Source organism: Homo sapiens, chromosome 5 (genome assembly GCF_000001405.40).
Source record: "Homo sapiens chromosome 5, GRCh38.p14 Primary Assembly".
Taxonomy (NCBI): Eukaryota; Metazoa; Chordata; class Mammalia; order Primates; family Hominidae; genus Homo; species Homo sapiens.
Genome location: NC_000005.10, coordinates 152863180 through 152889268, shown reverse-complemented (window position 1 = coordinate 152889268; position 26089 = coordinate 152863180). Strand labels below are relative to the sequence as shown.

Below are 26089 nucleotides of genomic sequence, written 5' to 3'. Positions count from 1 at the left end.
CAGAGAATACTACAAACACCTCTACGCAAATAAACTAGAAAATCTAGAAGAAATGGATACATTCCTCGACACATACACTCTCCCAAGACTAAACCAGGAAGAAGTTGAATCTCTGAATAGACCAATAACAGGCTCTGAAATTGTGGCAATAATCAATAGTTTACCAACCAAAAAGAGTCCAGGACCAGATGGATTCACAGCCGAATTCTACCAGAGGTACAAGGAGGAACTGGTACCATTCCTTCTGAAACTATTCCAATCAATAGAAAAAGAGGGAATCCTCCCTAACTCATTTTATGAGGCCAGCATCATTCTGATACCAAAGCCGGGCAGAGACACAGCCAAAAAAGAGAATTTTAGACCAATATCCTTGATGAACATTGATGCAAAAATCCTCAATAAAATACTGGCAAACCAAATCCAGCAGCACATCAAAAAGCTTATCCACCATGATCAAGTGGGCTTCATCCCTGGGATGCAAGGCTGGTTCAATATACGCAAATCAATAAATGTAATCCAGCATATAAACAGAGCCAAAGACAAAAACCACATGATTATCTCAATAGATGCAGAAAAAGCCTTTGACAAAATTCAACAACCCTTCATGCTAAAAACTCTCAATAAATTAGGTATTGATGGGACGTATTTCAAAATAATAAGAGCTATCTATGACAAACCCACAGCCAATATCATACTGAATGGGCAAAAACTGGAAGCATTCCCTTTGAAAACTGGCACAAGACAGGGATGCCCTCTCTCACCGCTCCTATTCAACATAGTGTTGGAAGTTCTGGCCAGGGCAATCAGGCAGGAGAAGGAAATAAAGGGTATTCAATTAGGAAAAGAGGAAGTCAAATTATCCCTGTTTGCAGACGACATGATTGTTTATCTAGAAAACCCCATCGTCTCAGCCCAAAATCTCCTTAAGCTGATAAGCAACTTCAGCAAAGTCTCAGGATACAAAATCAATGTACAAAAATCACAAGCATTCTTATACAACAACAACAGACAAACAGAGAGCCAAATCATGGGTGAACTCCCATTCACAATTGCTTCAAAGAGAATAAAATACCTAGGAATCCAACTTACAAGGGATGTGAAGGACCTCTTCAAGGAGAACTACAAACCACTGCTCAAGGAAATAAAAGAGGACACAAACAAATGGAAGAACATTCCATGCTCATGGGTAGGAAGAATCAATATCGTGAAAATGGCCATACTGCCCAAGGTAATTTACAGATTCAATGCCATCCCCATCAAGCTACCAATGACTTTCTTCACAGAATTGGAAAAAACTACTTTAAAGTTCATATGGAACCAAAAAAGAGCCCGCATTGCCAAGTCAATCCTAAGCCAAAAGAACAAAGCTGGAGGCATCACACTACCTGACTTCAAACTATACTACAAGGCTACAGTAACCAAAACAGCATGGTACTGGTACCAAAACAGAGATATAGATCAATGGAACAGAACAGAGCCCTCAGAAATAATGCCACATATCTACAACTATCTGATCTTTGACAAACCTGAGAAAAACAAGCAATGGGGAAAGGATTCCCTATTTAATAAATGGTGCTGGGAAAACTGGCTAGCCATATGTAGAAAGCTGAAACTCGATCCCTTCCTTACACCTTATACAAAAATCAATTCAAGATGGATTAAAGATTTAAACGTTAAACCTAAAACCATAAAAACCCTAGAAGAAAACCTAGGCATTACCATTCAGGACATAGGCGTGGGCAAGGACTTCATGTCCAAAACACCAAAAGCAATGGCAACAAAAGACAAAATTGACAAATGGGATCTAATTAAACTAAAGAGCTTCTGCACAGCAAAAGAAACTACCATCAGAGTGAACAGGCAACCTACAACATGGGAGAAAATTTTCGCAACCTACTCATCTGACAAAGGGCTAATATCCAGAATCTACAATGAACTCAAACAAATTTACAAGAAAAAAACAAACAACCCCATCAAAAAGTGGGCGAAGGACATGAACAGACACTTCTCAAAAGAAGACATTTATGCAGCCAAAAAACACATGAAGAAATGCTCATCATCACTGGCCATCAGAGAAATGCAAATCAAAACCACTATGAGATATCATCTCACACCAGTTAGAATGGCAATCATTAAAAAGTCAGGAAACAACAGGTGCTGGAGAGGATGCGGAGAAATAGGAACACTTTTACACTGTTGGTGGGACTGTAAACTAGTTCAACCATTGTGGAAGTCAGTGTGGCGATTCCTCAGGGATCTAGAACTAGAAATACCATTTGACCCAGCCATCCCATTACTGGGTATATACCCAAAGGACTATAAATCATGCTGCTATAAAGACACATGCACACGTATGTTTATTGCGGCACTATTCACAATAGCAAAGACTTGGAAACAACCCAAATGTCCAACAATGATAGACTGGATTAAGAAAATGTGGCACATATACACCATGGAATACTATGCAGCCATAAAAAATGATGAGTTCATATCCTTTGTAGGGACATGGATGAAATTGGAAACCATCATTCTCAGTAAACTATCGCAAGAACAAAAAACCAAACACCGCATATTCTCACTCATAGGTGGGAATTGAACAATGAGATCACATGGACACAGGAAGGGGAATATCACACTCTGGGGACTGTGGTGGGGTCGGGGGAGGGGGGAGGGATAGCATTGGGAGATATACCTAATGCTAGATGACACATTAGTGGGTGCAGCGCACCAGCATGGCACATGTATACATATGTAACTAACCTGCACAATGTGCACATGTACCCTAAAACTTAGAGTATAATAAAAAAAAAAAAAAAAAAAAAAAAAAGAAGAATACATGATTAATTTGATAGATGTAGAAAGACATTAAGTAGAATTCATCACCAATTCTGGATAAAATCATTTTAATGCATATAGACTGGAAGGACATTCTCTTAGTAGCACAAAGAAGACCTGTAAGTTCCATCACAATATTTCACAAAGAACTACTAAAAACATAGACATTTAACTCAGTACTTTCTCACTCATGCTTTGCCTTAGGTTCTTTATGTAGTAAATGTTTACTTTGTAAGCATCAAATGAATTAATGTAGACAGGAATATATAGATCAGTGTCTGGCACATAGTAAGGTCATATACGTTGGTGATTATTGTTATTACCACTATATAACATAAACAAGTAAAATAATGAGTTTGTAACCATTCATTAATTATTGCTTACATTTTTAGTACATCCATGCTCACCCTTTCATGAGTAAAATTAAGTATGAACATGTTCAAATATGTGAATTACAAAAATAAATGTAAATGGATTAAAGTGCTGTGTTAAAAAATAAAGCCTCTCACACTGAATTAAGAAAAAAAAAAAAAAAAAAAAAAAAAAGAAGCCCAGTAGAGTGGAAAGCAATGTGTTCTAACAGAAAAGGTGTGGTCTTTCAGGAAACTCTTCTTCTGAATTCATTCAGTATCAAGCAGTAGAAGATAAAGTTGGAGGGATATGAATGTAGCACTGGGCCACTTGATGCTCAGGAGAAGACTTTATGCTCTAAGGTGATATTTAGGAATTAAAATGTTATTTCAAGGAGAAAAAAACTCCACAAGTATTCTAAAATGTCATGAGCACTGCCTTTCAATTTTTTCAGAATATCCATCAATAGCTGTTCCCCTCATCAATGGAGTCTGAATAAGTGCATTTTTGTGGATCAAACAAAAGCTCTCAGAAGGAGAAACTCTGGTAGAAGGAGGTAGTCATACCTTTATATTTACCTTGTAAGCTTTTGCAACTCCGTGGTGCTACTTCGACAGCCTCATCTTCTGTTTTCCAACATGAAATTATTCCTGTGAGGTCAGTGTTATTTCTTTGCTTATTGAAGCCATTTCTTTATAATCAAGACACTCTGGTAGTGCTTAAGAATCATGGGTTTGGAGTCAGTCTTAAATTTGAACTGTCTCATTTACTGTGGAATAGGGCCATCACTTTACCGTCTGAGCCTCAGTTTTCCTATCAGAGCCTCAATATCCTCATCCTTAATTTTATCCACCTCTAGAACTATGTGCAGTAAAATAAAATGGCATTGATAAGGCACTTGACAAAGTACATAGAACATAGCAAGTAATCAGAAAGTAGTAGTTAGAAGATAAAGACAGCAGTGAAGAATGAAGGTGAGAGACCCAAGGATACAGTAAAAAATTCAAAGGGGAAGTTTGCTGACAATTTAAGCAGTCTGCTAGATCTTTTGAAACTTCCGAGAACATGGCTCTGCTCATGTCTTAAAGGAGACAATGCATTTTTAATAATGCTATTTTACTTAATTATGTAATTAAAGCACCACTGATTGTAAGACACCCTGTGCATTTCAATACAATTATTTAAGAGAAAGCAGTTGCAGTACTACAGTAAATGTATGCATCAATTTTAAGAACCACCACAATTTCAGAAATAGTAACAATTTAGAAAAACTATCATTTACAGAGTTGGAAAAAATAGATTGAGTGTGAGGTATGAGTAAGTATTGTTATTAAAAGTAATACGTTACTTTGAACATATCACATGAGAATATTTGAGAACCGTATGTTTCTGCTAGTATGTCTAGGCAGTACTGTTCTTTTGGCACTCCTAGTTAACAAGAAAAATTTGTCTATTGGAAGTGGCATGTTGATGAAATTTTATAAGAATATATTATGATTATTTTGGGCCAAATGATTTTTTTTGAGAACCCCACATTCATTATCTCACTTAATTTGGGAACCAATGCTGCAAAAAAATAATTACTAATACCACACCATTTGTAGAAGAGAGAGCAGAATTGGCTAATGCCCCTGGACTAGTTGGTGGCAGAGGCTAGATATTGGAATCCAGGTTTATCTGACCAAGAAGGCTGCACTCACAGCCTTTATTAAGTCCTTTCTTCATAGTTTGTGTTGCTTAGAATAATTAAATTATTCACCTCTTTCAGCATGGGGACTAGGAAGAACCCATAGAGCTCAGATGAGCCAATCACCCAATCCCAGGGCTCCATACCCCAGTTACTTTTACTAGTTACCTCTGACAGCTGTAATTAACATATACCCTGAGGCAGGGTTGGGAAGGGCAGAGGTAATTTCTGCACTGTTGGCTTGCTGTGGATAAAGTAATTGCCCATATTTAAGCTTTCAGGAGGAGGGCATTCCTAGAGAAATGAGAGTTAGAGGGAGAGTGTGGTAGGAGGGAGATTGGGCATGGTAAAGAAAAAGGAAAGGTTTAATTGTAGGACTTGCTGCTAGTTTGGAGCTGTGACAATATGCTGATTTTCTTCTTGCTTCTCACTAGGTTTGTGAAGTTTGTGGTAAGCATCAACAAAAATCTAGCCATTTATAGATTTAGTCGAAAGAGATAAAAGAGGAGTAGAAGAGGCCAGACATGACACCTAGGGAGGAAATTGAGTATCTATCTATCTATCTATATATATATATATTTTTTTTTTTTGGTAAAAGTAGTGGTCAATCTTGGGGTTTTAAATGAGACTAGGAAATTAAGTGTTAACTAAGGTCTTTGACCTGAGATGTAATGGGAAACAGTGCAGGAATTGATTAATGATGCTAGGGGCAAGGTATACAATACAACACTTGTATTTATATCATTTATTTACCCAACTGGATCTTTAAATAGCAACTGATGTCATTCCCATACTTGATTGAATGTAACATAGCATAACATAGCTAAGTCCGGTTTATAAAAAGTGCTCATAATTAGTGGGCAAGGGTGGATAACTGAATTAAGGGAATAGTAGTCTCTAGAGAAATATAAAATGCATGCACAAAAATGGAAAGAGTTGTTCTGGTCACTGGGGAAGCCAGTTGGTGGCCTGGATCTCTTAAGAGAACGTCCACATTTTCAAATTACATGAGATAGAAAAAACAAGTTAATCTTTTTTCTTTTAATGTTAGGTCTCTGAAGACACAAAACATGTCTATGTTACAATCTTGACTTCCCCAAAGTACTCTGGGCACTCAGCCAACTTTGGTACAGTGATGGAAATTTGCTGACTATTCTAATTAAGTTAATAGCTGATGAAAGTATTAAGCGTGTTAAATGGGTTCTGCTTGCATGAAATCCTGGCTCTTAATTGGTTGAAACTTTGAAAAAGAGCAATATAGATGTTTAAACCTATCAGAGAAAAGTAAATGTAAACAACTGGGGAAAGTTTTGGAAATATATAGTAGAGGATAAATTTCAACTTAAAAAGATTTCCTCAAAACGTTATAGAACTATGTCCTAAAGACAAAATAGATCTTTTATTCACAAATTCGCCAGTTTTCAGCTCTGGATGCTGTACCCTAAATGTATTAGGGTCTATTAGAAGTAGAACACGGCTTAGGGGAAATCTAGTTACAGTGGTAGAATCTTTCAAACAAAATAGAAAACAGAATGAAAACATATGGAGTGTAAAAAAGCAAAGCTGCTTTGGTTGGTAGAGTGAGAAAGTGGAAGATACAGAGTCCTGCCCAACAGATTGCTTCTTACCATTTAGGGCCTTTGTGCAGAATATTTGAAACCCCTGATCTTATCCATCCCTTTCACTGTGTAAGAAGATGGGCTTAGTGACTTACTCAAGTACATATATTTAGATAGTGACTGAGTTAAAGCCTCTACCTAGCCATTCTGACTCCCAAATCAATGCTTTAAGGCAGAACTCTTGTCCATATAGCGGTATCGTGGTATTCCTATACTCTCTATGGTTTTATCTTAATTTAGAAGATAAATGAGGTTTTCTCTTCTCTTTAGATTTTGTTTCATGACTCATTTTACTTTAGAATCGAATGTTTAAATATTCTAAGACACAAAAGCATTCATAATTGAAAGTCTTAAAACATAATTTATGAGATTTATTAAGTTACCTGCTATATATTTATTTTTCTAGACTACGGGATCCTTGAGGACAAAATCTCAGTGTCTAGCACATCGAAGTTTGTTAATAAGCATGTTAATAGGCTAGCTGAAAGTGCAATAATAACCCGGAACATATAGTTATAGAGACACTGTAAAAAAGCATAAATTTGTAGGATAATCAAACTCCAGTATCATTGGTCACAATATTTCATGAAATATTTAAACAGCAGGAGCATATATTTGTCACAGTGTTAATTTGGTTCATTTTCTATGACTGTTCTTCTCAGATAGCTTTTTCTATGAATATGTCTTTTCCAAGTTAATTTGTACAACTTTCTTATTGTACTATCATATGTATTCTATCACATTATTATCAGATGCATTCAAAATATTTAACAACTGGAATATAGCACAGGCCCTAATGAATCAAAACAAATGCCAGCTATAAAAAATGTATGGTCAAATCTATATGTACTAGCTACAAACTCAACCAGTAGATATAGATTTGGCCATAGCAATTTTTTTGCAGGGCTGGGGAGAAAGGTTGGGTTCCCATATGTGGCCTCTTTTCTTCCCCTGTTAACCTCTACTTGATTAGCAAGTATCTTTATCTCACTATCCACAGTCTGGTCTACCAGCCATTAATGAAAGTAGTAGTCTTACTGAAGACTCTGTGGCAAAGATAAATGAAGAGTTTATAGTACACAGAATTTCACTTTCCAAGTATATATGACATGCCCAGACATTAGTTCAACAAATGTTTATTGAACACCTACCATGTGCTAGATTGTCTCTTCTCCCCAGTAACTCTTTTTGTCTTCTCTCTCTCTGAGTCTCCCACTCTCCCTTTTACCCTTGACCTTGAGAAGCAGCAAACCCCATCCTCCTTCCAGGATCCTCCTCCCAGAATCTCTGTGTCCTTGCTTTTCTATGCAGAGTAATTCAACTCTGTCACAGCTCAGTGATACCCCTCACTTAATTCATACTTCAAATATGAGGACATTTGCAGAAATATGATTTGAGCCCATGAAACAAATGCCCCTCCAATTGTTAGGAGTCATTCTCCTTAGACACTGGAAGAAAAAGCATATTTTTCTGCCAGATGATACCATTTTTTAAGGGTTCTATTAACTACACATTGAAGTATATATAAAGTTATATATAATGAATGAAAATCATGGAGAAATAAGGTAACTCAACAATCTTTTTTTTCTGTTCTTAAAAGAGGTACTAAGATACATACAATGTTTGTTTTCAATTTTGCTCCATGGAGGGCATTCATTCTACCATCTCTGTGCATCAGTGTTTAATAGCATGCCTCTTACATGTGAGGGACTATGGATATGGAGGATAATAAAGCACTCACTGTCCATTGGAGGAGATGGGTAATGGGATGGTATGATCAGAACTAGGAGAAAGGAATGCCCAGTGTGTGTTGTGGGAACATGTGTGAGGGGCACTCAGAGCAAGGGAGATGGGCTGGGGGCAGCCAGGGAAACTTCCACAGAGGACAGAATGCCTGAAAGAAGTTTGAAAGAATGAGTAGAAACTACCCCCAACAAATGAAGGGTAGCACATTGCAGGTAGGTGTAACGGATTGCTTATAAGCAAGAAAGATCATAGTGACTTCAGGGCACAGCAGGGTCTCAGTGCAGTAAGATTGTAGACGCTCCTGGAGAATGAAGGATGCTAAGGGAGGCAAGAGCCAGCTCAAGGCAGGCTTTGTTTTATTTGATTTTTATAAGTTTTATTTTGATAAAATTGGAAACTTAAAGATTGTCAGAATACTACAAAGTACTATTACTTTCATTTTGCCCCATTAGTCTCTCCAGCATTCGCTCTTTTGCTCACTCTCACCCTCTTGCTCACTCTCGCTGTCTTTTTCTGTAATTCCATTTTCTGACCCTTCAAAAATAAGTTGCTGATATGCTGTTCCTTTAACACTTCATACACTTAAGTGTACTATTTCCTGAGAATAAGAACATTCTCTTACATGTAACCATGGTGCAGTGATTGAAATCAGAAAATTTAACATTGATGCAATGTTTTTATTTAATCCATACTTTGTATTCATATTTTGCCACTGACCCAATAATGTCATTTTATAGATGTTGGGTTTCCATCCTTCCCTCAGTACAATATTTAATCCAGACACAATTATTGTATATAATTATCACGTACCTTTAGTTTTCTTTAATTTAGAACAGTTTCTCACCTCTTCTTTGTGTTTCATTTCTTGACATTTTTGGAGAATACAAGCTACTTATTTTATAGAATGTCTCTCACTTCGGGTTTGTCTAATGTTTCCTTATGATTGGATTCATACTTTGCATTTTTGGCAGGAATTATCACATAAGTGATATTGTGTCCTTCTCAGAGCATTACATCCAAAGACTCAGGTAACTTCTTTTCACTTTTATTTTAGGCTCAGGGGTACACATGCAGGTTTGTTATACAGGTAAATTTTGTGTTGCAGGAGTTTGGTATACAGGTTATTTATTCACCCATGTAATTAAGCATAGTACCAGATAGGTAGTTTTTTTATCCTTACCCCCCTCCTACCCTCCACCCTCAAGCAGGCCCGAGCATCTGTTGTTCCCTTCTTTGTGTTCATATTTACTCAATATTTAGTTTTTATGTATGTGAACATGTGGTATTTGGTTTTTTGTTTTCTGTATGTGTTTGCCTAAGATAACAGACTCCAGCTCCATCCATGTTGTTGTAAAGGACATGATCTCATTTCTCTTATGGCTGCATATTATTTCATGGTGTATATGTATATTTTCTTTATCCAGTCTATCATTGATGAGCATTTAGGTTGATTCCATGTCTTTACTATTGTGAATAGTGCTGCAGTGAACATACAGGTGCACGCATGTTTATAATACAATGATTTATAGTCCTTTGAATATATATCCAATAATAAGATTGCTGGTCAAATGGTAATTCTATTTTAAGTTCTTTGAGAAATTGGCAAACTGCTCTCCACAGTGGCTGAACTAATTAACACTGCCATCAGCAGTGTATAAGCTTTCCCTTTTCTCCACAACCTCACCAGCAACTGTTATTATTTGACTTTTTAATAATAGCTATTCTGACTGGTGTGAGATGGTATCTCATTGTGGTTTGGATTTGCATTTCTCTAATTAGTGATGTGGAGCATTTTTTCTTATACTTGTTGCCTGCATGTATGCGTTTTTTTGTGAAAAGCATCTGTTCATGTCCTTTCTACTTTTTAATTTTTTTGGCTTGTAAATTATTTTACTATCCTTAAAGATGCTGGATATTAGACCTTTGCAGATATGTAGTTTGCAAATATTTTCTCCCATTTTGTAGGTTGTCTATTTACTCTGTTGACAGTTTCTTTTGCTGTCCAGAAGTTCTTTAATTAGATCCCATTTGTCAATTTTTGTTTTTGTTGCAATTGCTATTGGTGTCTTCATCATGAAATCTTTGCCAGGTCCCATGTCCAGAATGGCATTTCCTAGGTTATCTTTCCACAGTTTTTTTTTTTTTTTTTTTTTTTTTTGAGACAGAGTCTCACTGTTGCCAGGCTGGAGTGCAGTGGCACCATCTCAGCTCCCTGCAACTTCCACCTCCCAGGTTCAAGTGATTCTCTTGCCTCAGCCTCCTGAATAGCTGGGACTACAGGTGCACACCACCATGCCCAGCTAATTTTTGTATTTTTAGTACAGACAAGGTTTTACCATGTTGGCCAGTGATCTTGATTTCTTGATCTCATGACCTGCCCACCTCGGCCTTCCAAAGTGCTGTGGATTACAGGTGTGAGCCACAGCACCTGGCCCCAGGGTTTTTATAGTTTGAGGTTTTACATTGAGTCTTTAATCCATCTTGAGTTGATTTTCATATATGGGATAAGGAAAGTGTCCAATTTTAATCTTCTGCACGTGGGCTAGTGAAGTATCCCAGCACTATTTATTAAATAGGGAGTCCTTTCCTCATTGCTTGTTTTTGTTGGCTTTGTCAGCGACCAGATAATTATAGCTGTGCAGCATTATTTCTGGGCTCTGTTCTGTTAGCCTATGTGTCCTTTTTTTGTACCAGTGTTATGCTGTTTTGATTATTATAGCCTTGTAGTATAGTTTGAAGTTGGGTAATGTGATCCTTCCAGCTTCGTCCTTTTACTTAAGATTGACTTGGCTATTCAGGCTGTTTTATATGTTTCCATGTGAATTTTCTCTCTCTGTCTCTCTCTCTCTCTCTTTTTTTTTTTTTTTTTTTTTACAGAGCGTCTGTCACCCAGGCTGGAATGCACCAGCATGATCTGGACTCACTGCAACCTCCACCTCCCAGATTCAAATGATTCCCCTGCCTCAGCCTCCTGAGTAGCTGGGATTACAGGCGCGCACCATCACACCTAGCTAATATTTGTATTTTTAGTAAAGACAGGATTTCTCCATGATGGCCAGGCTGATCTCAGACTCCTGACCTCAGGTGATCCACCTGCTTTGGCCTCCCAAAGTGCTGGGATTACAGGCATGAGCCACTATACCCGGCTGTCATATAAATTTAAAAATATAGTTTTTTTCTAACTCTGTGAACGGTGTCATTGGTAGTTTGATAGGAATAGCACTGAAGTTGTAAATTGCTTTGGGCAGTATGGCCATTTCAACAATATTAATATTCTTCTTATTCATCAGCATGGAACATTTTTCCATTTGTTTGTGTCATCTCTGATTTCTTTGAGCAATGTTTTTTAATTACTGTTGTAAAGATCTTTCACCTCTTCGGTTAGCTGTATTCCTAGATATTCTTTTTGTGAGTATCGTGAATGAGATTGAATTCTTGATTTGACTCTCAGCTTGGATGTTGTTGGTCTGCAGGAATAATACTGACTTTTGTACTTTAATTTTGTATCCTGTAACTTTGCTAAAGTTGTTTATCAGATCAGGAAACTTTGAGCAGAGACCATGGGGTTACTAGGCATAGAATCATGTCATCTGCAAAGGGGAACAGTTTGACTTCCTCTCTTTCTATTTGGATGCTTTTTATTTCTTTCTTTTGCCTGACAGCTCTGGCTAGGACTTCCACTACTATGTTGAATAGGAATGGTGAGAGAGAGCATCCTTGTCTTTTTCCAGTTTTCAAAGGGAATCTTTCCAGCTTTTGCCCATTTAATATGATGTTGACTGTGGATTTTTTATAGGTGGCCCTTAATATTTTTAAGTACATTCTCTAATGCCTAGTTTGTTGAGGGTTTTTGACATGAGGACGTGTCAAAAACTTTTCTGCATCTATTGAGATGATCATGTAGTTTTAGTTTTTAGTTCTATTTATGTGATGAATCACATTTATTGATTTGTGTATGTCGAACCAACCTTGCATCCCAGGGATAATGCCTACTTGATCATAGCAGACTAGCTTTTTGATGTGTTGCTGGATTCAGTTTGCTAGTATTTTGTTGAGAATTTTTGCATTCATGTTCATCAAGGTTATTGGCCTGAGGTTTTCTCTCTTTTTTGTTGTTGTTATATCTACAATTTTTGAGTCAAGATGATGCTAGCCTCATAGAATGAGTTAGGGAGGAGTCCCTCCTCCCCAGTTTTTTGGAAAAGTTTCCATAGGTATGGGACCAGCTCTTCTTTGTGCATCTGGTAGAATTTGGCTGTGAATCCAATCTGGTTCTGGGTTTTTCAGTTGGTAGGCTTTTTGTTACTGTTTCAATTTCAGAACTCATTATTGGTCTGATTAGGGATTCAATTTCCTCCTGATTCAATCTTGGGAGGTTGTATGTTTCCAGGAATTTACCCATTTCTTCTCGGTTTTCTAGCTTGTATGTGTAGAGATGTTCATAGCAGTTTCAGGGTTTTTTTGTTTTTGTTTTTGTTTTTGTTTGGTACCACCCTCTTTTTCATTTGATTGCTTTTTTTTGAATTTTCTCTTTTTTTTTCTTTATTAGTCTAGCTAGCCATCTATCTAACTCTTTCAAAGAACCAATTCCTAGATTTGTTAGTCTTTTGTATGGCTTCTTGTGTCTGTTTCCTCCAGTTCATCCCTGATTTTGGTTATTTTTTTGTCTTCTGTCTGCTTTGGGGTTGGTTAGCTCTTGTTTCTCTAGTTCTTCTATTTGTTATGTTAGATTGTTAATTTGAGATATTTCTAACTTTTGATGTAGGCATTTAGTGCTATAAACTTCCCTCTTAACACTGCTTTAGCTGTGTCACAGAGATTCTGGTATGTTGTAACTATTTTCTCATTAGTTTAAAAATATTACTTGATTTCTGGCTCAATTTAATTATTCACCCACAAGTCATTCAAGAGCAGATTATTAAATTTCCATGCAAATTTATGATTTTGAGTGATTTTCTTAGCATTTATTTCCATTTTTATTGTGCTGTGGTTTGTGTGTGGGGTTGGTATGATTTTTTTTAATTTGCTGAGAATTGTTTTATGCCTAATTGTGTGATCAGTTTTAAAGTATGAACCATGTGCAGATGAAAAGAATGTCTATTCTGTTGTTTTGGGGTGGAGAGCTCTGTAGATGTCTGTTAAGTCCATTAGGTCAAGTGTTGAGATCAGGTCCCAAATGTCTTTGTTGGTTTTCTGCATTGATAATCTGTTTAATATCTGTCTAATATCAAGTGTTGAAGTCTCCCACTATTATTGTGTGATTTCCTAGGTCTCTTTGTACGTCTGTGAGAACTAACTTTATGAATCTAGGTGTTCCTGTATTGGGTGTGTATATATTTGGAATAATTAGGCCTTGCTGTTGAATTGAGCCCTTTCCCATTATTTAATGCCTTTCTTTGTCTTTTTTTAATCTTTGTTGTTTTAAAATCTATTTTGTTAAAACAGCAACCTCTACTTTTTTTTTTTCTGTTTTCTGTTTGCTTGGTAGATTTTTCTCTATCATTTTGCTTTGAGCCTATGGAAGTCATTGCACATGAGATGGGTCTCTTGAAAACAGAATACCATTGGTTCTTGCTTCTTTATCCAACTTGCCACTCTGTGCCTCTTAATTAGGGCATTTAGTCCATCTACATTCAAGGTTAGTATTGATATATACAGATTTTATCCTGTTGTCATGTTGTTGGCTGGTTATTATGTAGATTTGTTTGTGTGATTGTGTCACTGGTCTGTGTATTTAAGTGTTTTTGTAGCAGCCAGTAACATTCTTTCCTTTCCATATTTAGCACTCCCTTACAGATTTCTTGTAAGGCAGGTCTGGTGGTAATGAATTTCCTTAGAATTTGCCTGCCTGAAAAGGATTGGCAGGATATTGAATTCTTGGTTGGAAATTCTTTAAGAATGTTAAATATAGGCCCTCAGTCTCTTCTGGCTTGTAGGTTTTCTGCTAAAAGGTCTGCTGTTAGCCTGCTGTAGTTCCCTTTGCAGATTACCCGCCTCTTCTCTGTAGCTACCTTTAACATTTTTTTCTTTCATTTCAACCTTAGAGAATCTGATGACTGTGTGCCTTGGGGATGGTCTTCTTGTGCAGTATTTCACAGGGGTTCTCTGCATTTTTTGAATTTGATTGTTAGCCTTTCTAGCAAGGTTTTAAGGACATTTTCATGGGCGATATCCTGAAATATGTTTCCCAACGTGCTTGCTTTCTTTTTCTATTTCAGAGTTGCCAATGAGTTGTAGATTTGGTCTGTTTTCATAATTCCATATTTCTCAGAGGTTTTGTTCATTCTTTATTATTTTTCTTTATTTTTGACTGAGTTATCTTGGAGAGCCAGATTCAAGCACTGAGATTTTTTCCTCAGCTTGGTCAATTCTGCTGTCAATGCTTATAATTATATTGTGAGATTCTTAAAGTGAGTATTTCAGCTCTGTCAGATCAGTTTGTCTCTTTCTTAAAATGGCCATTTTGTCTTTTCATCTCCTGTGTCATTTTATTGTATTGCTTAGAATCCTTGGACTGTGTTTCAACTTTCTCCTGAATCTCAATGATATTTGTTCCTACCCAGATTCTGAATTCTATTCGTCATTTCAGCCTGGTTGAAAATCATTGCTAGGGATCTAGTATGGTCATTTGAAGTGAAGAAGAAACTCTGGTCTTTTGAGTTGCCAGAGTTCTTGTGCTAGTTCTTTCTCATCTTTGTGGACTGATGTACCTTCAATCTTTTAAGTTGCTGTCCTTTAGATGGGATTTTCTTTTATCCTCTTTAATGTTCTTGGGGATTTGATTATGGTATAAAGTGGATTCATTTAACTGGCCTTGTTTCCAGAAGATTTTAGTGGGCAAAAGCTCAGCTCAGGGCTCCTGGGCTGTGTGCTCTAATTCTGGGGGAGCTATTAATCAGGCCCCCCACTTTGTTCTCTGGCCCCTTGAGGTTATGAGACTGCTATGCTGGAGGGGCCGAGGTGTTCCTAGTCCACTGGCCACAACACTCCTATTGGGGAGTTATCAGCCAAAGTGCTTCTTCAGGCAGTGATAGCAAGATCTGCACTGCTTTGCACCTGCCAGCAGCAGTGGCAGGGCAGCAAGGTGCACACTCATCAGCTGAGGTGGTGTGCTGGAGGGCACACAGGTGCTAGCCTCCATGTGGGCATTTGTAGTGATGGTGGTGGCATCATGGCACAGGAAAGGTAACTTTGTATTGAGGATCTTAACTCTGATCACTTGGTTGAGGTGGTGTCAGCCAGGTCTATCCACAGTAAAGTTACTTTTTAGCTTTTTAACTAATAAGTAGTTTTGGGGGAGATAGTTTGAGTCTATGTTAATCTAGTTCAGTTCTCTTTATAAAACTTTCACCCAATAATTTTAGCATCTCTGAGTTTTGTCTAAATCAATTATTAGCATGATGGTTGAAAATGCCAATCTTTTCTTCTCAGTTTATTAATTGCCATTGATTGTAAAGAAGGGATTAACTTCCTCTCATATTTATCTGTAAGTTCATGTATTATCAGTATGGAATCATGGATTCTTATTTTAGGTAATAGGTTATAATTTAGGTAATAGGATTCTTATTTTAGGTAATAGGTTATATAATTTATTATTGTCATTTATTTTGAGGCTCCAATTGGCCAGTGGAGTCCCTCCAAATGATCTCCTATTACCTTTTGACATTTCTCACTTTCTTTTAGCAATTTCTTACTTTCTGGCACTAGATATTCTAGGCTCATCTTATTTTTACTGCATTAGCCATGGAATTCAATTATGTCTGATTCTTTTGTGGGGCAGATCCTTTCTCAGATCTCAAGTTTGGGCATTGGGGCACCTTGAATGTTGTATGGCAATATAGAAGGTTTTCAAGTGGACAAGTGACATATTCATATTTGTGTTTGAAATCTATGGTGTGTGCTTCAGAGTGAGGATGGATTGGAGACAGTGCAACTCTCCAGACTGAGACAAATAAACCAGTGGCTCTCAAAATTTGTTTCACATTAAAATCACCTAGAGACCTCTAAAAATTCCTCATGCCCAGCCAGTGTCCCAGACCTATTAAATCTAAATCTCTGAGGATGTGAGAAAGGCATCAGTATTGAACAAACAAATGAACAAAACACTGTTCATGTAATTCCAGTATGCATCCATGGTAGAGAGTCAGTATGTCAGAAAGTACATGTAATATTCAAGAATAAGATAACAAAGCCCTTTAAAGCAATAGCTCTGCTTTAGTGCAACAGAGATTAGCCTTGATGACAAGTCTGTGGGTTCAGGACTGGTTTCCACTGCTTGATTATCCATTTGACTTTTTGAGTTCCAGGTTCATTTTATTTGTTTTGCATTTTTTACAATATTCTTATAAGGAACAAATAGAATAGTAAACAAAAGAGTGTTTCTTCACATATAAATGCTTTAAATATAAGACTGTATTATTATTTCATGGATTCCATAAGTAAAATAGAGGAATAGAATATCTTCCTCCCTCTTAAGTAAATCCTTAATTTCATTGCTAAATTCATTCTTTAAACAAATATTAATTAGGGATAGGTGCCAGACATTGAGAATATGTAAATAGGGAGGGGTGGAAAAGATTCCAGAATTCAAATTTTTTACAACCTGGTGGACCGATATAGACATTACAATGTGCAAAGCCCTAAAAGGAAAGAGGTATATATTGCTACAAGCAAATGTAAAGTAACATAATTTAATCAACAATAATTAGGAATCATTTGGGGGGAGCGGGGATGAGTATTAATCTAAGAACTGAAAGAATATTAGAATTAACAGTGCAAGTAGGTCTGTATGCCCATAAAGGTGGATTAACAATACATCCTCATTTGCTTGGTACAGTCTTGATTTATACCATCTGGTATATTATTTAACTGGATTTTTCTCTTTTTTTTCCCCAGCTTTAGTGGGTTATAATTGAGGTGCAATAAGCTATACATATTTAAAATGTGTAATAAGTTCTAACATGGGCACACCTGTGAAAGTATTACCACAATAAAGATAATGAATATATTCATTATCTCAGAAGTTTTCTTGGGCATAGTTTCAACCTGGCTCTTTCGCACCTACCACTCACTGTCACCCTGTCAAGGACAACAATTAATCTGCTTTTGTCACCATATATTTGTTTGAATTTTTAAAAAATTTATATGGATAAAATCACAGGGTATATACTCTTTGGGGAAGGGTGTCTGACATTTTTCATTTAGTATAATTATTTGAGAATTCATTGATGTTATTGCAAATATCAGTAGTTTTTTCCTTTTTAGTGCTGAGAAGTAATCTATTGTTTTGATATTCTACAGTATATTTATCCTTTCTTTTTAGGTGAGCATATAAGTTGTTTCCAGTTTGTGCTATAACAAAAAACACTGTTATGAATATTTGTGTACAAATCTTTATATAAACTTTTTTTAATTTCTCTTGGACAGATATGCAGGATTGGAGTAATTGTATTGTATGGTAGTACATGTTTAAGAAAATGCCAAACTGCTTTCAAAAGTTGTTGTATCATTTTGCAATCCAACCCACAATGTATGATGAAACTTTCCATTCCTCTCTATTATTGCCAACTCTTGGTATCATCAATTTTTTAAAAATTTATTCATTCTAGGAAGTATGTATTGGTATCTCATTGTGGCTTTAATTTGCATTTTTTCTAATGACAAATGATGTCAGACATATTTTTATGTGCTTATTTCTGTATCTTTGGTCAAGTATCTGTTCACATTTTGACCATTTTTTAAATTTCTAAGTGTTTTTAAAAGTATATTTTAGATATGAGTCTTTTGTGTCAGATTTACAAATATTTTCTTCCATTCTGTAGATTCTAATTTTATTAACAGTACCTTTTGAAAGTGCCTGTGTAATTTTCTTTCTTTTTTTATTATACTTTAAGTTCTGGGATACATGTGCAGAAGGTGTAGGTTTGTTACATAGGTATACATATGCCATAGCGGTTTGCTGCACCCATCAACCTGTCATCTACATTAGGTATTTCAAATTCACGAAATTTTTCAAAACATGATTTTTTTCAAAACATGAAATTTTTCAAAACAAAGTCACAAAGATTTTCTCCTTTTCTTTCTTTTTATTTTCTTTCTAAAAGCTTTATAGTTTTAGCAGTTACTTTAAGGTCTCTGGTAAATTTTGAGTTCGTTTTTGTTGTGTGGTGTGGGTTGAAGTTTTATTGTGATGTTGTGTGGTGTGGGTTGAAGTTTTATTGTTTTGCTCTGCATATGGCCATCAAATTTTCATGACACCATTTATTGAAAATCCTTTCCTTTCCCTATTGAATTCTTTTGACACTTTTGTTAAAAAAAAAAAAAAACTTAATTGAAAATATTCGTGTGTGTAGTTCTATTTCTGTACTTAACAGTCAGTAGTTATTTTATAAAGGCTGTGCCCACAACACTGATTCAACAGTTGCAGCTGTAGAAGGTGGATTTACAGAACACTTTGTGGGACCAGGCATGGTGGCTCACACCTGTAATTCCAGCACTATAGGAGGTTGAGGCGGGCAGATCACCTGAGGTCAGGAGTTCGAGACCAGCCTGGCCAACATGGTGAAACTCTGTCTCTACTAAAAATACAAAAATTAGCCAGGTGTGGTGGTAGGTGTCTGTAATCCCAGGTACTCAGGAGTCTGAGGCAGGAGAATTGCTTGAACCCGGGAGGCGGAGGTTGCAATGAGCCAAGATCATGCCACTGCACTGCGGCCTGGGCAACAGAACGAGACTCCATCTTAAGAAAAAAAAAAAAAACCACTCTGTAGAACATTACTTTTCATTAAAGTAACTGGTTCTTAGACTTGTATGTGCATCACAATGTCCTGGCAGTCTTGGTGAAACACAGGTCACTGAGATGCAACTCTTGAGTTTCTGCTTCAGTAGGTCTGAGCCATGGCCAAAGTATTAACATTCCTAACAATTAGTTAATCAAAAATCCAGTGAATGTTTTTTCTTTAATTTAATTTTGCTTATTCTCATTTCTGAGCTTTTCTGTGAATATACAGAGAATGAAACAATAGCTAATATCATTGCACTCACTGGCAGAACTTTGCAAGCAGCTAATGATTTCTGCCTTATGTCATTATCCACATATGCTTCCAATATACATAAAATCAATTCATTTTAACCATGACTTAGTTTATTATCCAATCCATGAAACAAAAGTAAAACTTTTCACTTTATCTGTCAGACATAAAATGTGACGTTATTGTGATTGTTAATTTAAATTCAATTTAAAAATTTATCACCAAAAAAAGTTTTGTGATGATGATGAGACTGTATGTTTTCAATGGACATAGCATTATATTCTTCTTAAATTTATTATTCTTACTAAATTACATCTGTGGCACTAAAGTGTACTTGGTATTTATTTGTGAGACACCCATATTTATAATTGCCTTCAAATCATTTTCAGTTTTCCACCAATCAAAATAGATTCTTCAGTTGTCAAAATTTACAAGCATTTTTATATGTGCATAATTAGATTAATTAAACCACAACATTTGTTTGACAAAGGTGATGTAGAATGTATTTTTCAAAAATTATTTAATGTGACAGTTCTTTTTTCTTTTTGCGGCTGAAATTCAGCTAAATTTCAGAAATATTTGAGCTTTTACTAAAGTTAGTTCATGTATTTTACAGTGCCATAGCTTTTTTGATGTAAATTCACTAAATTTGTATTTTTTTTTCAAATCTATATGAAATCTTTATTCAAATATTAAAATAATTGAACACCAAATGCATCACCTTTTATAAAGTTCTTAGTAAATTGCAAGTATTGAAACAAAGCCTACAAATTGAAAGACAATCAAAAATTTCTCTATCAAGCAAGGAAGAATCCACACAAATTAAATGATCAGCACTCAAATGTTATTCCAGATTTAAATTTGAAATTCTATAATTGTAATTTGATCTTGACTCTTGGGGAAAATCTTTTGATAAAGCTCCTTTTTTTTTTTTCTTTTTTTGAGATGGGGTCTCACTCTTATCGCCCAGGCTGGAGTGCAGTGGCACAACCTCGACTCACCTGTGCCTCTGGGGTTCAAGCGATTCTTCTGCCTCAGCCTCCCAAGTAGCTGGGATTACAGGCATGCACCATCATGCCCCAGCTAATTTTGTAGTTTTTTAGTAGAGATGGGGTTTCACCATGTTGGCCATCCTGGTCTCAAACCTCTGACCTCAGGTGATCCACTCACCTTGGTGCCCCAAAGTGCTGGAATTACAGGTGTGAGCCACCGCCCCTGGCCAAAGCTCCTATTTTTAATTAGACAAACTTTTATTCTCTAGTTGTATGAAATGAAATTCAGAAGATATATGATTTTGCTTTATTAATATATGAAAATAAATCAAGCATAAAATATAATATTTTGCTATAAATATATTTATGGGAGAAGGAAACTCCAAACTGAAGCTGAAAAAGAATGTTAAAATATTTTAGTACGAGAGACTATTTTCAAAATGGACAGCTAACAAGCTTATGCCACATCTAGAAAGAGAGTTTTCTTAATTTAAAAAAATGCTTTACAGCAGAAAGTAAACTGAAGTTGTCAAACACTCCAAACTTATTAAACATAAAATGCAATTTTGATGATGCTCACTTACAGGTAATTTAGTGAAAACAATAAAATCATTGAAGAAAACCAGAATATTTCACCCCCAAATATGCTTTTTTTGGCCTATTTCAAGATGGTCATTTGGAGGGAGGGCAAGCCACAGGAATAGCCCTGAAAAGCTGCCTTTTTGTTGAGGAGATTTGCATATGTAGAGAAAATCTACATTAGTGAAATAAACAGCAGATTCAAACAGGCTCTCTCTGAAGCCCACTCCCTTATTTGCCTTATCAGATTAATCAGAAAGATTAATTTACTGGAAAAGAAAACTAGAAGTTTGACACATCAAAGCTCTGACAAAGAAACTTTACCACTGGCTGCCATGTATTCCTTCTGAGGGCAGCCCCAAGATGACCTGAGAGATTTTTATCTGTATAACAAGGCAACCTTTGCTTGCCATAGGTCTTAGTTGTTTGTGTTGTTATAGAGAAGTACCCGAAGCTGAGTACTTTATAAAGAAAAGAGGTTTATTTAGCTCACAGTTCTTCAAGCTGTACAAAAAGCATGGCGCTAGCATCTGCTTCTGATAGGGCCTCAGGCTGCTTCTGCTCATGGTGGAGAGCAAAGGACAGCCCAGCATGTACAGAGATATCACATGGTGAGAGAGGATATAGCAAGGTTGGGGTAGGGGCAGGCTCTTTTTAACCACAAACTCTTGGGGGAATTAATAAAATGAGAACTTGCTTACCCATCTCCCCAGGGAGGCCATTCATCTATTAATGAGGGATCCCACCCCCATGACCCAAATACCTCCCATTAGGCACCATCCCCAGTGATAGGGATCAAATTTCAACATGAGATTTGGAGGTGATGAACATCTAAACTATAGCACCACTTTCCTCCCATCTATCTTCCATAGCCTGTGAAACCACCCCCACCAGAAACCCCAGGTGTTCTTTCTGTAACCCCAGGATGTTATAAAAACTTCAGTCATCTGTTCCCTCCTTTGCATTTTATATTTATGGGACTACCATGCCCATGTACCTGTTAATTTATAAACCTTTCTTCCTGTAAATTGGTCTATTGTAAATCGATTTCAATAGCCTTAAACTCACCTTCCAAAAAGGAGAATCTCCTTACCCTACATTATATTATTTAAAAAATACATTCTTCAATAAAGATACCTACAAGACATTTTTAAAGAAAAATATAGCTAAGGAACTGATTAAAGCTTAGGCATCCTATTTTGTTTTCAGTGTTTAAACAATCAATACAAAGTTAAAAAAAAATTGTTTTAGTGTATTTGGTGGACATATGTTGCTTTTCTACTTTAAGACATATTTTTAAAAATAGTATTGCAATAGGGTTGCAAATATAGTATATCCAATTTATTATTACTATCCTCTCTCACTCTCAAAATTGTTATGGTTTGAATCATAATCTATGTTAGCATCCATTGTGAGAAGAATGTCATTTTAGCTGAGTGACCAACATCTGAAAAGGCTAAGAGACAGAAAGGAACATAGGACATTTGTGATTGGAAAGAAGGCTGGTGAGGATTGGGTTTACTACAAGCTTTCTGGTAAACTATATTGTCTTGAATTTCTTTTCTTAAAGAAATTGAAAGGTGTATTGTCTTATAGGCAGGGATGATTTTCTTTAGCAGGTGAGAGGCTGCAAAGACCTGCCACTTACATAAAATCCAGCCACTCATTAAAACAATGTGTTGGCATTTAGTAATCAGATTAACATTCCTCTGGATATGCTTCAGCTTTGAACTGGATTTCAGTGGACCTTATTGCATTGTTCTTTCTCCTACTCTGTTTCAAGTAATATATGCTAATTGATCAGACCAAGTAGAACAAAAATAAAGTTCTCCTTTAAGGTGATTCCTCTGAGGGCAATTCATGGCCATTATTCTTGGGTGATGTCATCTTTAAAAATTGACCCTGCCCAAGGGGAAATACTACAGGTAGGCTTCTAAACTGCTAAGAGGGTATTCCTAGTGATAACTAAGTAAACATGTAAGTTCTTTTTTTTTTAATGGTTGAAAGTCATGCAGTAGCATAAACAATATTAATACATACACATAATTGGCATATATATGTCTAAATCCTACGTATTAGTAGCCTACTAAGTTTCTGTTAAAGGTCATTAAAGCTTAGTTCTCTTCCTTTCTTTCAAATACTTAGCCCATCACTTCTGCAGTTGACCAAGCTTACTAATATTCTTCAAAGCATGGACTCCATACATTCACTGAGAATAATGAAAATCTCTCATGTTCCCCACACACACCAGATAATTGAAATTTCTTACATTTTCAGGCAAGATAAGTGATGATTTGGCTGTAGTTTTCAGTGGCTGCTCTTCTATTAGTTTATACTTCTCTGGATCATATTGTGCTTCAATGATAGATAATCTTATATCATTTTGACTAATTTGATTATCTGTAATTATATCTTATCACTGAATTTCATTCCTTCACAGATGTCTCACAGGGCTAGTACTGGATGAAGTACGTTAACAATGGAGGTTGCCTCAACTAGGGAAATACAGTAAAATTAAAATAAAAATCAGTATCTGTCCTTAAGGTATATTTTCTTATGACTCAGACATGACTGGGCTTAGATGGCCAGGAGGACAAGTTCTGTGGAGTAGACTTAATTGGCAATGAAGAATCAAAGGGGTATGGCATTTATTAATTTATTTCCTTGCAATACATGGAATACTTATGTTGTTCTAGAAACTAAGGAATTGTAAGGCATTTATCGCCCAGATGCTCAATGTAGCTGAGGAAATAACCCCTAACATAGAAAGCAGTTAAGTAACTGTATTAAAAATCATATGCTTAAGCATCAAGAAAAATACCAGTAATATGCTAAAGGGCTCATTAAAAGGTTAATGTCAGTGGAGGGAACATCAAAGAAAGCTCTGTAGATAAGCAGAGAATTGGAATAAATTTTGAAGGATGGGTAGTTGAAAAAATAAAGGAAGAATAAGATAAGACATTTAAGGTCATAACCTAAGGTCTCAACTTTTTACCTAGAAATGTATTTACCAAACATTTAAGGTCAGTGTCATCTGTTTTCTAGGGATAAAAGGAATTCCCCATGACTTAAGAGGATGAGTTAAAACATAGCACTGCATTTATTGTTACTGAACATTGAAAAATATATGTCTTGGGAACTTCCTCAGAATTTGTAAACTTCTTCAGAGAAGGCATCATCTCTTTCCCACCCCACCTCCACACCTTCTGCCTTGACAATACATACAATGTATTTAACACAGTGCCTTGTCCATGGTACTTAAAAACAGTAAATATTTGTCTGAATGAATACTTGAGTAACTAGAGACTCTAATAGCATTTCCCTTAGTTCATGGAATCTCATCTTACTGTTTAGGAATTTAGACAGAATGGAGGTAAAGCTCCTGACTAAATCTCAGCCATTGACCAAGCTAAAAAATTGCCTAGCATCTCCACTTCTTATGGTTATCTCCCTTCTCTAAATCCAATGCACTTGATATCTGAACCATTTATTTGGTAATTCATTATATGCTGTGTGTAAAATTGGCATCAAAGAAGAAAGATCTGAGATCTATGGCTATCTCTTTGGGACTCTGGAAAAGTCTCTTGTCTTCTGTGGAACTCATACATTAACTTTAACGAGCTTACTTGGCTTTACCATGCTCTGAGATGAATTTTCAAGGATTTGGGAACATATACTTCCTACTTGGAAAGGGTTTCCTTTGTAATTTCTTCATGTCTTGCCCTAGATATTTATGAGACACTCAACAGCTGTTCTCATTTCATGAAAAATGAAGTGAGTAGGTTTGGCAGCTGTTTCCGTGTTTCTCTGGGATATGTGGGCTTGCACTATTTCGTATAAATGGAATGTATTAATCATTCCTCATTTTATAATCTGTTTTGGAGTTTTCTTATAAAAGGGGGGAAAAGAAAAAAGTTTAATGTGTGGGCAGGCACCTAAAGATAATTCAATTTTAATTCTGACAATTATGCAAGATAACAAAAATAGTCATTTTGATGCATACTTATTAAAAACATTTTGTAGATAAGATAATCTTAAGGTTTAGATTGGAAGTCTCAGTATATAAGAAACTTTGGACAGGAGATGGGCAAATTAAGGAAGAGGGACTAGTGTAATATTCCAATATCTATAGGCCTTTGTGAAGAAACAGGCATACTCCATCTGACTCCAAGTGAGGCAACAGGAACAATGGGTATAAAGTAAAGAAATTTTAAATAATTATATATAGCTTTTTAAAAGTCAGTCCAAGGATGGAACTTACATGTGACAGTAAGTTCCTCATCACTGGGGATAAATGGGGGTATGGCAGCATTGAGAGTCACTTGATTTGGGCATCTTTCAGCTGTAAGTAAATAAATATATAATAGTGCATATATATTATATATAATAGTATACTCTCTCTCTCTCTCTCTCTCTCTCTCTCTCTCTCTCTCTCTCTCTCTCTTTTCAGTGTATTTAAACCAACAAGGGAAATTATTTCAGGTGGCTGAAAAGTCACAGCTGAATCCAGGGGTTCAAGTGACATCCTTAGCATCTAGAGTCTTTCCACTTATTGACTCTGCTGTCTTCTGTAGTAGCTCCATTTATTTTCATTTGTCTGCCCCATTTTCCCAGGAAAACTCTGGTCCCTCTTACTGGCAAGATGGGTTCTGGAAGAATCAGATTTACATGCTATATGAGCAGTCTTGAGTTTAGTGAAAGTAAGAAGCCCTCTCTGTCAAGTGTTCATGTCAAAGTCTCAGGATTGACTCAGATGTGAAATTTGGGTCACATCTTCCTCAGTATGGCTGGATCCTCAGGTCTGGATAAGGCATTTTTACTGACATCTCAGCAGACGGTATGTAAAGGATGTTCTTCAAAATCAGAGCTCTGGTGCCATAGGAAAGCATGAGAGGTCAGCAGCAAAAACAGTAAGTTTTCACTCTAATTCTTGAGTCCTGTAGAAGTAATAAGAGTAGATTTTTTATTTTTAGTAAATCTTTAGCAGTAGATCACTATTCCCAACAAAATATTTGATAAAACATATATAACAAAAGGGATATAGTTCTAATCGAGGCATGATAAGTGTCCATGGGCCTGATAAATTATTAATAAAAATTGTCCTTCACCTCTACTTATATTCCCCAAGGTGCTTCTGTGTGGAATCCTAAGAGTGAGAGCACCTTGGAATGCATTGATTAAGGTGCGTAGTAAGATCCCATGGAATATGAAGGCTGTGACTATTCTCTTACATTCATTTGTTCTTGGTTC

General features: G+C 36.2%; 1 long non-coding RNA gene across 1 annotated transcript in view, besides 1 other annotated feature; it reads left to right on the top strand.

Moving 5' to 3' along the window:
• The window catches only part of LINC01470 (long intergenic non-protein coding RNA 1470), a 353385-nt gene that overhangs the window by 83081 nt on the left and 244215 nt on the right, over nt 1-26089 (top strand). The window lies entirely within an intron of this gene.
• Nucleotides 20893-21062: an enhancer, noted in NCBI's record as "experimental_83374 CRE fragment used in MPRA reporter constructs". NCBI's record gives its function as "activates a minimal promoter by MPRAs in K562 erythroleukemia cells, with activity observed for the introgressed 5:152247852 variant allele {active_cell/tissue: K562}" and the evidence as "EXISTENCE:reporter gene assay evidence [ECO:0000049][PMID:34662402]".